Source organism: Homo sapiens, chromosome 10, assembly GCF_000001405.40.
Source record: "Homo sapiens chromosome 10, GRCh38.p14 Primary Assembly".
Taxonomy (NCBI): domain Eukaryota; kingdom Metazoa; phylum Chordata; class Mammalia; order Primates; family Hominidae; genus Homo; species Homo sapiens.
This window is the reverse complement of record NC_000010.11, coordinates 106,565,824-106,579,474: the sequence shown is the minus strand read 5'-3', so window position 1 is coordinate 106,579,474 and position 13,651 is coordinate 106,565,824. Positions and strand designations below refer to the sequence as shown.

General features: G+C 40.9%; 1 protein-coding gene and 1 long non-coding RNA gene across 16 annotated transcripts in view; one reads left to right on the top strand and one right to left on the bottom strand.

The window, feature by feature from the left end:
- The window catches only part of SORCS1 (sortilin related VPS10 domain containing receptor 1), a 607,476-nt gene extending 601,664 nt beyond the window's left edge, over positions 1–5,812 (top strand). For 5 of the 15 annotated variants that reach the window (XM_017015617.1, XM_017015615.3, NM_001387556.1 and 2 more), the window contains 3 exons: positions 1–106; positions 224–384; positions 5,294–5,812. In XM_017015617.1, the coding sequence (XP_016871106.1) occupies positions 1–106; positions 224–384; positions 5,294–5,373 (347 nt within the window). In that variant the 3' untranslated portion in view covers positions 5,374–5,812. The other 10 variants (XM_047424545.1, NM_001013031.3, XM_047424546.1 and 7 more) reach the window with 7 other exon arrangements.
- LOC105378472 (uncharacterized) lies at positions 8,243–11,640 on the bottom strand. Its single transcript, XR_946298.3, has 3 exons — positions 11,530–11,640; positions 8,944–9,033; positions 8,243–8,307 (listed from the first exon to the last, which is right to left on the bottom strand). It is a non-coding gene; the product is annotated as an uncharacterized LOC105378472 (long non-coding RNA).
- Between the last annotated feature and the right edge of the window lie 2,011 nt (positions 11,641–13,651).

Sequence of the window (13,651 nt, the reverse complement as noted above, 5' to 3'; positions counted from 1 at the left end):
CCCCCCTGGTGGACCTCACTCCAACCCACAGTGGATCTGCCATGCTGATGCTGCTCTCAGTGGTGTTTGTGGGGCTGGCAGTGTTCGTCATCTACAAGTTTAAAAGGTGCGTGTCCCTCTATCCACGTTCCCCCACCCCTGACCTCTTCCTTCTCCCTGACAGGTTCAGAAGCATGTGTTACAGTGATGTGCATAGCAGTGATGGTTTCTATTAATATTTTAGGAAGATCCCGGGGATTAATGTTTATGCCCAGATGCAGAATGAGAAAGAACAAGAGATGATCAGTCCAGTCAGTCACTCTGAAAGCAGGCCCAATGTCCCTCAGACTGAACTAAGGAGGCCTGGCCAGCTTATAGATGAGAAGGTGGAATCCCAGCTCATAGGTAAATGATTCCCAGTAGCCACCAGCTGTTCGGCTGAGTAGGCAATGGCTGACTCTCTCTCTAACCCCTTTCTGGCTTGACATAACCACTTTCTTTTGCTCTAACACCCCTGAGAGAAACAGCTAAGATGGCTTTTTCCCTGCTTCCTCTGATTGGGATGGGGGAAAAACAAACAAACCTCTTGCTTCTATCTAGTTTTTTTCTCTCATTAGTTTATTCCTCCTTTTGCAAAACCCTCCCTAAAATATTGGGCTTAAAATGTTAAAATGTTATATGTTTATGGGCAAAGAGCAAAGCATTTGCTTTAATAGTATATAAGAAGGAGAGGCCTCAGAGGCTAAGGCTGGTGGACCAGAGGGCTGGGCAGGGTTTGCAGGACATGGTATGTATTGACTAGAATGAAACATGGTAGCCTCAACTGGATACAGCTCTTAAGGAGGGCAAACTGCTCTGGAACACCAGTAGAGAAGTGACATAATGAGAGTGGCCAGCCTGATCCTCCAGGGAATTTTTTTTTTTTTTACATCTATTGGTAGTCTAGGAACTTTCCCTCAGGAGATTTGGAACCTAAGATTGAGGACAAGAGGCATAATGTTTGCAGACATCCAGGCAGTAGAGCATCCTGAGAGAGACCACTGGTGGGTGAGACTATTACAGAGCAGATTAGCAAATTTCTTCCTCTTTTTAGACTGTCCCTTACCAGAAGTTGTAAAATGGACTTTCTCATATTTCAATGGCTCTCTCTCTGCCTGTGAAGTAGGCATGGGAATCCAACAACGAGGTATAGAGAATCTGACGTTCACTTGCTAGATTCTGCTATTTATTGCAGCAGAAATTTTCCAGGAAGCTAGACAAACCTATGAAGCCACTATTGCTGATCCATTTCTCTGTCTGGTTCCTCCTGTCTGTTGGCATTAGGAGTTGAAGCCTTATATGTTTACATCTAGATCCTGCATTGCTGACAACAGTGAATAAATTATTATATAACCATTCATGCTCCACTCTAATGTGATAATGCCAAACCACCTAGAAGGCCTTTACATAAAATTTTTAATCTTACTTGGAAAACAATGAGTATGTAAACGGAAACATAACCCTCTTTAAATGAATATGGGAAAGGTCTGTGGCTGTGTTAAGGGGAAATGTAAATGCAGTGACTGGCTCCTATCATAGATAATGATAACAACTGCAGTCACATCTGGTGTCCGATTTTCACAGTGCACTTTCTTTTATTTGGAGAGGCAAGGTAATAAATGTGTGATTGCTTGGGGCTAAAAAGAAAAAAGTCTTTTCTGCCTTCAAGTCCAGAGAAGCATTCACCCTGTCTACTCATTCCTAAAGCTTCTAAGTGCATTTTTGGGGATCGTTTGGTTCTCAGTCGCATTTCCGTAGGGTATGAAGCACAGCCTCTGTTTGCTTTATTAAAGTAGTAATTCCTCCTTCTCCAGGAAGATATCGCAGCACATTGCAAAGTCTCTGACACCTTTCCCTTTCCAGTGTCATTAAATGAGTAAGTGTTACACGTTTTCTCTTAGGAGAGTAGCTTTACCCTCCCCTCCCTCCCCTTCTACTCAACCTGGTGACTCATCTCTCCGATTGCAAAGAGCAAGACACGCCACTCCGCCTTCAACGCCAAAGCGGGGATCTGCTGGGGCACAGTATGCAATTTAAGGAAAACCCCCAAAGGCTACAGGCGACCTGCTGATCAGGAAAGAATTTCGCTCTTGTCAAGTACATCATCCTTCATGACCACTAACTTTGTGTTTTTTTTCTTTCCTTTGTTGTTCTGTTTCCTATTTTGCCAGGAAGTATTTCCATAGTTGCTGAGAATCAAAGCACAAAAGAAATCCCTACCTATGTAAATGTTTGAATGGAGGACGCCAGTAAAAAAACAAAAACAAAAACAAAACAAAACATAAAATATAAACAATCAAAATCCAAACAAACAAACAAACACTCACTGCATCGGGACTTTTTAATTCTTCAGACACAGACAACAAGGGTTTTTAGCTTTAAGCCTGTGCATGTGGACAATACTCTGAGAACATGTCTGGAGGGGCAGTGTACAGGTGCTCTATTTTAATGGAAAACACTCCCCTCTCCCTCTTTCTTCTTCTCTCTCTTTTTTCTGATCGGTCGTGTTTGTAGAAAATTCATAACATATATAGGCCAAGGAAATCTGCATGTATTTTTGGAAATATTCTTGGCTCTAGATTTATCAGCTATTTTAGCATTAAAGGCTGATGGGTGGATTAGCTACCCCAGCTCCTTTCATAAGACACAAAGACGTGCACAGGAGTTTGAAACCCTGAGCTGTTTCTCTGTTCCACTTTCCATACTGTCATTTCCCTTCTAAGTTAGCTTTGGTAGCTCTGTTGGTCAGCAGTGGCCACAAGGCTGCTTTCTGCACTCTCTGTGGCCACAGGAACAAAGATGCGAGTTGAAGATCCCTTTGTGCCGGTAGAATAAGGAAGGAAGGGAGGCAGGGAGGCAAAGCATGTCAGAAACGGACCTTGGTTTCCTGTTCACCTCTTTCCACCATGATTGCCTCCCCTTGCAGCTTTCCCTACTCCTGCCCCAACTGCAGTAGGAAATGGAATCCCATTAGTTACCCATTGTCCTGTCTTCACATTTGTTTGTCATCCATGTGTGACCATGATCTGTTGATATCTTTGAATCTCTTCCCTCCAAACCCCAAGTAAGTTGTCCTTCAACTGTTCTCAGTTTTTCTTCCCAAACATATTGCTAGATTCTGGACATTAACCCTGACGTTTCCTAAATACTGGCCTGGCCTGTGCCGCCCCTGCCCCCACTACTCACAAGTTTCTGAGCCCTTTGTCAGTTTTGTACATTCCCAAGCATGCCAGCTTCTGTGCCCATGGACCTTGCTGCATCCTGCACAGCAGGGTTCAGTTTCATGTATCTTTGTCTTTTCCTCTAGAACCTGCCTTTTTCAAATATCCCTGCCTTTTCCCACCTGGAAACATATACTGTATGCGAAAGAGTTGATATATGCAAAGTAATTCAAACCTGGCCATGTACTTTGGAAAAGAAAGCATAGAGATGAATTGTGGTGTTCTCACACCTTAACGAAAATCTCGTGCGATCTGATTCCAGAAGATTCTTGTGAGAAATGTTTTGAATGTGTGACAATTTCGCAGGGCAATTTCCTCCTGTGACGGTTGCTGTTACCTGGTATTTCCACTCTCACAGTAGAATAGAAATGTTTGTGAAATAAAACTGATTTTAACTGGAAGGAGAAACAGGTTAATGGACTTTGTGTTTAAGAGTGTCAAACAGTCTGAGAGAATAAATGGGGGTCTTGTCTTACATTAGGGTGAGAGTTTGATTATTTAGGATGATCCCAGTGATTTCATGTGTGCTCTCTGACCTCTGAGTATCATAGTATCATTAAAGTAAAGATTTAAGTCTGTATAAAGGAGGAGAGTTACTGATTGGCAAAAAAGATTGGCACAAAGCATGAAGAAACCCCATTTTTCCCAGGGTAATCATGAAAGAAGGCTCAGAGAAAGAGGGAAACAAAAGCCTGTTCAGCAGAGGCCCCTTTAGTATTATGGACTGGGCAAAGCCCACTATAAACTATAGGAGAAAGAAGTTCTGATAAACCTCTTAGTATGCTCAGCCTCCTTCTTTGCTATGTCCCTAAGCCAACAGGGTATAACACAGGCCCTGGTGATAATGAGGGTGTCCTAAAGATCCTGATGTCCATGACTTCATGTAGTTCAGGCACAGAAAGAATAGCAAAGCTGCTGTCAGAAGTTTGTCAGGCAGAGATGTTTATGGTTGAGGATACCCCATATGAATCTGGGAAATGGGCTAGGCCTGAGGCAGTCACCTATTTGTAGAACTCAATTGATCCCCAACCTGCCAGGCTTCCTATCTCATAGGAAACATCCTCATTGATCCTCTTCAGTTGGAGTCTCCCAAATTTAATGTGGAAGACAAAGTGTTGGAAAATCAAAAGAGGCTCACTCAAACCAGCACAGGGAGTCCTCAGAGTTGCAGTTCAATTCATTTTAATTAGAAAAGTATGAAAGAGGTATAACACTCTTATTCTAGCACAGTGCCTTGCCTAGAGTAGTAGTATGAAAACTATTTGTTGAAGAAATAAATGAATGGAAAGACATAGGGAAGAATGGGCTGTAAATCCTAATTAAAAATAGAGGTCGACATGAGATACCTGGCATTTTGGGAAGTGACCAAAGATGGCCAGCTAGAGATTCAGCATCTCCAGGATCCTCATGTGCCTCTCCTCAAAGCTCCCTCCCATCTGTAGGAGATTAGTGAGGCAAGGTGCTGCTCAGAGAGGAGGACCTCATTGTTCTTAGGACCTTGGCCAGTTGTTCTCAAAGTGTGGTACCTGGATCAGCAGTATCACTATCACTTGGGCTAGTTAGAGATCCAGATTCTGGATCCATACCCCATACCTACTGAATTAGAAACTCTAGGGGATGAATAGTGGTGTTCTCTGTTGCTAAGTGACAGTGGGCCCAGCCACCTATTTTAACAAGCCCTCCCAGTGATTGTGATACATACTAAAGTTTGAGAACCATTGTACTAGGCCATTCCAGCTGAATCTCAAACAGAAGGCAGTAATGAGAGCCTACAAATGGGAGGGACCTAAGTGCCTACCTACTCGCTAATCGCAGGTGCAAACACACAAGGAGTTTGGTGGGCTTAAGGTCAGAGGAGTGTGTAGGGAGGGATGTATGTGGAAGGTAAGATTCAGGGCAAGCTAAAAATCCGATACTGCAACGTTTTCCAAAATCCCAGAAGGCAAACTGTGCATGTTCTACCCTGAACCACCCAAGCAACACTTTCTACCTTGCCTTATTTTTAATTGGATTCACTGTCCAAAATGCAGAGGTTTGCTTTGCTTTTTTTTCAGAAGTTCCAAACAGCAACTTTGAGAGCAGTGGGGTGCTTGGCAGCTGTTCTGTGTTTTCCAGGAATCCAACTGAGCATTGAAATCTCTCATTTGCCGACTTATTTTTATAGGAAGCCAATTAAAAAAAAAAAAAGTTTTCTTATAGTATTGGAACTACTTCTAATTTTAAAATGACTTTTTTGATGTATTTTTTGTTAAATACTATGTAGTGTAATGTATAATTGCTCTTGTTTATTGCTTTTACAATCATATTTATTAAACAGATAATGTCTCTAAAGTCTTTGCCTCAGGTATTTTTTTTTTTAATCCTAAACCCTTGGTGTTCATTCTAAATATAGAAGTGTTGCATGTATAGGATTTCATAAAGGCTAATTGCATAAGAAAGAGTAAACACCACAGGCTTGAGGTTTTTGGCTGTTTTTTACTAACAAGGCAGAATGTATGTACTACCTGAATTCTACCTGCATTTCAATTAACTATACAATGTCTGTTTATTAAATTACTTTGATTTAAAAATTAGTCCAAACTGGTTATTTTGGAACGTACATGAGTACGTGTTCGTTATTATTAGTTCAGAATTCGAAATTATTGATGGGGAACAAACCCATTCAAATTTGTTCATAACCTTGTGGTTACCAAAGGACCGAACCTGCATGGAATGAACTGAAACATGGGGAGTGGTAAAAAACAGCAGATGAGTAAAAACAGCTGTGGACCTGGAATCAGGAAAGAGGAGTTCGCCTCTGGCTATGCCAGCTGTGTGACCTTGAGCAAATCATTTTAACATATAAGAGCTTTAGTGCTCTTGTTCATATAATTTGAAAGAAGATCCCTTCCAGCTCTGCCTTTCCAAATACTATGGGTGAGTCATTCCCCAAGAGTCCCAAATATTTGATTTAAAGTTAGCAGAAAATAACGTGGTAGACTGGATCCATCTTTTCAGCCCTGTGGCTTGCCTACGTAAGTGGCATTTCTCCCTGGGCATCATTTGGTGCTGATATTTGGCTGAAACATTTGTACAGGCATAAAACCCTCCCTAGCCTTCCCGAAGGCCTCCGAGACACAGAGTGGTGTTGCTTCAGCTCAATCTCAGCATGTGTGAAACTTCCTGTTACTTTAGGTGGCCCTTAACCTTTCCATTCCCACAGACTAAATTCCTGAATCTTTATTCCTTTCCAGGCCAGAGCCCATGCACCTCCTTCCTATCAGGAGCAATGTATCACCTGTGTCAGGCAAACAAACAGACAGCATCCCTATACACGTCAAACAGAGGGGAGTTAATACAGAAAATGTGTTGCTGGGTTAATGGAAGCACAAAAATACCAAATAGGAGCAGGTGAGGCAACTCTAAGATCAGCCTCAGTTGGAAGCCTCTCACTTCCCTGTGCTGGAGAGATCTGGGTATTACCAGAGCCCTGGAGTCAGGACCACCAGGTTGAAACTGAAGTCATGGAGGACTTGTCTGGCAGGAGCTGGAGCCATGGAGGAGACGTGACTGCTACCTGTCCTGTGATGCTGCCCAAGCAGAGGGGTAGGGAGAAGTAGCTCGCTTTTTCCCTTGCTCTGGTCTTCTCTGCTGTTGCCGATCCTTTTAACTGCACAAACCCAGCCACAAGCCAGTGGGCCGTGGAGCCTGGGAAATGTTGTTTTCTGGAATACAAAGTGAACCGCGAGGGAGTGGGAAATGGATTTGAGAGAACACAGGCAGGTGACTGGCACAGCACCCCTTTCATGGCCAGCCCATATCATAACCAATATATCTCCCCCAACCCAAATGCACCAGGTACTGTAGCTCACACCTGTAATCCCAGAGCTACGGGAGGCCAAGGTGAGGGGTTGGTTGGGGGAGATTGCTTGAGCCCAGGAGTTCCAGCCTGCAGTGAGCGATGATCATGCCACTGCACTCCAGCCTGGACAGCAGAGCAGGACCTTGTGTCTAAAAAATAATAATATGTAATCCCAGCACTTTGGGAGGCTGAGGCAGGTAGATCACATGAGGCTAGGAGTTTGAGACCAGACTGGCCAACATGGTGAAACCCTGTCTCTACTAAAAATACAAAAATTAGCTGGGTGTGGTGGTGCATGCCTGTAATCCCAGCTACTCTGGAAGCTGAGGCACAAGAATCACTTGAACCCGAGAGGCAGAGGTTGCAGTGAGCTGGGATTGCGCCACTGCACGCCAGCCTGGGCGACAGAGTGAGACTGTCTCAAAACAATAAATAATACGTAGTAGGTGCTCCTTTCTCTGTGACTATGTTCACGTATTTTTCTTTAAACATCACATATTTAGAACTTGGCTGTATGTTTATTTGTGGCACTTACGCCTTGCTCACCAAATTCTACACTCGTTTACAGAAGGATCTTTATTTTATTCATTTTATTATTTCAGCATTTAGGACTGGGCATTGCCATTAGGGGGCACTAGATAAATGTTTGCTGGAACTCAGCCCTTGATTTTCAGCTTAGTGTTGTGAGCAAGTCCATTTTATTCAGTGATGATCTCTGAGGTGGCTTCACAGTCCGATTCCTCTACCCCAGCTAGCACCTCTAATTACATGTTCAGTTGGTGTTTGTCAAGAATCAACATATCCCTGCCCATCTCTGTTACCACTCAAGCTGCTGTATTCCCAGAGCTATTCTTAGACATTAAGTGAAATAATTGCAGTTTAAGAAGAAGAAAAAAAAATGGCTAGAAACTAGCATAAAAAACAAAGGTCTAAGTTTGATTTCTGGATTACTATTAAAATGTGTTTTCCTATTCCCCAAGGAGTTAACAATACTGTGAAAATGCATGTTAGTCAGAGGCTTGTATAGTAGGGAAGTCCAAAATAATTCCAGATGGACAAATACAAGGAAATGGCTGTTATAAAGTTTTTGTGCTAAACACATGGAAAGAGACCCGTGTTTTACAGCATAGAGATATTTATTGATCAGTGTGTGGTGGACACTGTTTTAGGCAGTGAGAATCTTCTGTGAACAAGGCAGAAAACATGTCTGGCTTTATGAAGTAATACCTGAGTAGGAACAATGAACAAATAATATAATTTAATGTAACATATGCAATGCCATCAAACATATAAGATAATTTCAATATATCAAAATGTAAAAATAACATGATAGGTGACGGGGCGGCCAGAGTGACTAGGGGTGGGGGCGGGAGATGGGGAGAGTTGGTCCTCGGAAACAAAAATGTCTAGATGCTGAACAAAAACCTCTTCAGGATCTGAAGGCTAAAAAGGAGACAGCCATTTAGACACCTGCATGGTCCCAGTATGTTCAAAAGCCACCTTAGAACAACTGTGCCCAGAAAACAAACAATTTTGAACCTAAACAACAGTTAGAAATGTTTCTGAGTTTAAGGGAAAATAGCTCTTCCATTGCACATAAGCAGGGTCTTTCCCAGAGATCATCTGTACACTCAGTTGCACTATTATGTAACATGTGTTTCCAAAATCATCCCTCTATGCCAAATGGTATAATAAAGCCCATAAAGCTTAGGAAAAAAGATGGGGCTGGGGCACAACACACAAAAACTTTGTCATATCTCAGTGTAATGTGTCTCCGGGCACATTTTTAAAAAGGTACAAACCGAATAAAAATGGTAGCATAGTTTTACACACACTGAATAGTTAAATACACAAAACACTTACCTTGAAAAAGACTTGAAGTTTGCTTATGAGAGTGGGCGTTGGAATGCCTACAGCATGTGAGTTATTGTGAAGTGGTAGAAGGGAAGTTACCTGAAATCAGACAGAAATTTGCAATACCAAATACAGATAATGTGGCTGTAACACACAAGGCAAGTGGACGCAGCCGGCAGATGTTTGAGGGGTGTGTGTGTGTGTTCTGTGTACTTTTACACAGCTGATTTCAGCTGGATGCAGTTTTCTGCATTCATCTAGTTTTTCTCATTGACAAAATCATGCATAAGCAAATACAGCATTTGAATTATCCTCAAATTCTTCCTTAATATATCAATTACATTAGAACAAATTTATGTTTTCAAAACTGCTTGATAGCAGAACTGACTATAATTTAGGTGGCAGTTTAAAAGTACTGGTAGAGGGAAGAAACCCTACTTGACAGCAGAGGAAAAAGATAAGGAAATAGTGCTAATCCTCATTAAAATTGTCACCTCAGCCTGAGACCTTTCAGTGTAGGGACCAGCAGCCCTATTCACTTACACAGACCTTAGAACATCATCCAATTTCCACCTACCCCAGCAACAAATATTTAGAAACAGGCTTTGACCCAAACAATGTTAAGTTGTGGTTAGAACCCCTTGTTAAAGAAAAACATGGCTGGCCGGGCACAGTGAATGACACCTGTAATCCTAGAACTTTGGGAGGTCGAGGAGTTTGAGACCAGCCTGGGCAACATGGGGAAACCCCTTCTCTAATAAAAATACAAAAATTAGCTGGGTGTGGTGATGCACACCTGTAATCCCAGCTATTCAGGAGGCTGAGGCATGAGAATCGTTTGAGCCTGGCGGGTGGAGGTTGCAGTGACCCAAGATTGCACCACTGCCCTCCAGCCTGGGCAACAGAGCAAGACTGTCTCCAAAAACAAACCAACAAAAAAACATGGTGTGAAAAAGACATTTATGAAGTATTTGAAGGAAAGTAAAACAGCTGAAGATTTGAAATGTTTAAAAATAAATTCAAGGCCGCTAGATAATCATAAAACACTTTATAAACAATACTAAGTAAAATATTTCAATATATGCATTTCTATTTTCATAACATCTTTCTCTTTATGTGAATATTAATAACAGCTTGTAGATGCAGAAAAAGGATTCAGTAAGCACTATGTATAAACTAGTTAACAAACAATCAATATATATGCATATAATAAAATATAATTTCGTTAAAACTCTTTTCTAAAGAAGGACATGAGAAATGTTTCACATGATGTTAAGAGAAAGCAGAATTTAAGACTTTCATAGTATAATTTGTACAGAAAATAAGGACAGAACGAGATGAAAAATACTAACACAGGTTATTTCTAACTTGTAAAACTATGGGTGTTTTAATTCCCTTGATCTTTGTTTATATATCTTCTAAGATATTCTAATATTTGCTAATTAAGTTAGTTATGTAATTATTGTAAATAATATATAAAAGTTATAGGAAAATTCATAATTGTTGACAGCATATACTTAAATTCCTTTAATAAGTTAAAAACAACTTCTCTAGATAAGACAATTTTTTACCTTATGTGTATCAATTTAAATTCATATTGAGATACAAATATTATTTTGCAATTATGGCACCTGCAGTTTAACTCATGAAATTTCAAATGTTTACAATTTTTAAACAGTTTAACTTTGTGATCCATGTGTATATATGTAATATACATGTACACACAGACATATATATACAGATATATATACATGCATGTAATAACATTTTACAGTATAAGTGTAAGGTAAATATGTGTACATATATATTTATACATTATTTTATTTTATTTTATTGATTTATTTTTGAGACGGAGTTTCACTCTTGTTGCCCAGGCTGGAGTGCAATGGGGCGATCTCGGCTCACTGCAACCTCCGCCTCCCGGGTTCAAGTGATTCTCCTGCCTCAGCTTCCCGAGTAGCTGGGATTATAGGCATGCACCACCACGCCTGGCTAATTTTGTATTTTTAGTAGAGACGGGGTTTCTCTATGTTAGTCAGGCTGGTCTTGAACTCCCGACCTCAGGTGATCCACCTGCCTCAGCCTCCCAAAGTGCTAGGATTACAGGCATAAGCCACCGCGCCCAGCCTATACATTATTTAGATATGTGCAGCTACACATAGAAGTAAACACTCTTGCATAGATACAAAACAACAATATGGTAATAGTAGTTAGTTATGGTTCATAAACATACAGAAACATGTGCTATTAATGGGCCTAGACCCATTGCTTGACTGTGTGTTGAGTATCGCAAACCAATACTGTCTGAAGATTTTGTTGTTCCTCGGTAATCATGACTGGGGTAAGCAAGAGAAGTGAAGGCAGAAGAGTTATTTCTAGGGGAGAAGATGCAAACCTGCTGGAAGATACCCTTGCTGTAACTTGTGTAGCAACCTTCTTAATTGCCTAACCAGCAGCCACTCACTTTCCTTAACACCCTTCAGCCACAAGAAGAATGCCAACCTTACTTAATAACAGCACCAAGATATAATACCTCACATGCACATACATACATACATACACACACACTTGACAAATGACAGAGACTAGCCTCACCAAGTGTCTGCCGAATAACTGGAGGCAGGAGGTTCTCATTGGCCAAGGCTAGGGCACAGAAGCAATGCTGATAGTCAGGTTGTGAGTGAACCAAAGTCTCAGTGAAAAGTCCAGGGCCAAAAACACTGGTGTGAGCACATGTGAACACTAAGTGCAAAGGGGCAAAGGCTACCAAGATTTTAATTCCCAAGCGCACAGTTAAACGTTACCTAAAAATAAAAGATGTGAATGAAGCAAAAGTGTAGAATGAGGAAGTTGTGAGTGAAAAATATACGAATGATGAAAAAATAGTAAAGCAGCTACCATTTTGAATATAATGTGTCATCTGTGTACCCATTATCTCATTTAATCCACACAAACTCTCGAAGTAGGAATGGTTTTCTTCTTTTACATTTGGTGAAAGTGGAGCTTGGAGAACTGAAGTGATTCACTTGTTCATCATGATCATGGAGTAGGAGGTCTGTATGACACCAAAATGCTCGCTTTTCTTCTGCGCCGTATTTTTTCCTAAAAGATGAATAATATGTCAATCTCCTCTTTGGGGTATATAATAATTGAAGGGTTGAGCTAACTCAAAGAGTGGCTCAAGAAGACTTGAAAACTAGGTGGGCCTGAAGCTTGGGAAACTTAGAAACCCCACTGGATCTGTTCCACATCAAAGCCCACTTACGTGCTCGAGTAAATCAGAAAACTGCTCAATACAACGGAGACTGTTTTCCAAATTCTCCAGTGTGCTGCATTTCAGATGGCACAAAAGCAAGGCAGACACAGTTGTCCTTAGTGACATGCGCAGCCAAGTTTCTGTCTGGAAGAATGCCCAGAAAAAGATTCAGTTCTTCCTTCTTGCTCTGCAGAGCTTTTCTCCTGGTTGGGATTTAATAGATGTCCATAGGGATTTATGGAATCAAATCTGGGCATCTGGAGAGGGAGGGTAGATGTAAGTTGGTAAAATCTCTCTCTCTGGTTAAAGTACTACACTGGCAAGCACATGGGAAATAATTGACCTGAGATGGGATTTTTCTATAGAAACAAACTGACATTGCTTCTAGGATATCTAGGAGGGCAGATTTGGTTTGTTTTAATATGGCAGACAAATCGGAAAGTTATTTTGTTTGTTTAGTGCATCATTCTAGATGTTATTTCCAAATGCACTGTAAATATATCTTTTTAGCCTCTTGAATTTACACAAATATAGTCTAAACAGTGTTGAGATAGACAGAAGAATCAGTAGTTTGATATAAGTAGAGGGCAATGGGCTATAGGAAAGGAGAAGAGTTAAAGGTGGTGATTTGTGGTACATTCACTATGTTATAAGGAAAAAGGAATACATGATTTAAAACCTGCAAACACTTTAAGGTAGGTATGTTTATTTTATAATGTGGAAACATCAGTCTGGAAAGTTCAATTCACTTGTCTAAGATCACATGGCCAGTAAACTAGGAAAGTCAGAATTTCAACCCATGATTCCTAATCCTCTTTCACTCTACCCATACACTCCTCCAGTCTTCCTACAGGTAAGCCGCAAATAAGAGATGGTTCAAAACAACAAAACTGCATGCTCATGCAGTTCTCTGCTCCAAATGTGGTTGTTGGAAAGAGTTTACACGAGGAAAAGAGCTATTCTTGTAAATGCATATACCAGATTCTGCCTCAGCCCCACTTTGAATTACACAAATAGAGACTTATTCCTTTCGACCTTAGTTGATATGGTACACAGGGGAGGTGGGCCGTCTAAGCTCTCTTGAACTAAAGAACTGATATTTGCTACTCACTTCAGTAAACAAGTGGATATAGAGTAAGTATTTTCCAAATACCAACACTAAGTCATCCGAAACCCAGCAGCTCATACAGCACCCAGAGTGCTACATATAAGCCATATATATAGATATGGCTTAACCTATTAGAGATGGGATCCCCTACGGAATTCCCATGCTCATGCATGAATTTTCTCTTCAGTGGCCTCATTGCAGGGCAAGACCTTCCTTCTCCACTTTGGCCCATGAGTGGAAAATTTCTTTAATACAGAATGAAGCCTTGTGGCTCTATTATATCTGAAAACATTTTACTAAGCATTTTTTTGGTTTGGTTGGTTTTGTTCATATATATATGTATGTTTGTTTGT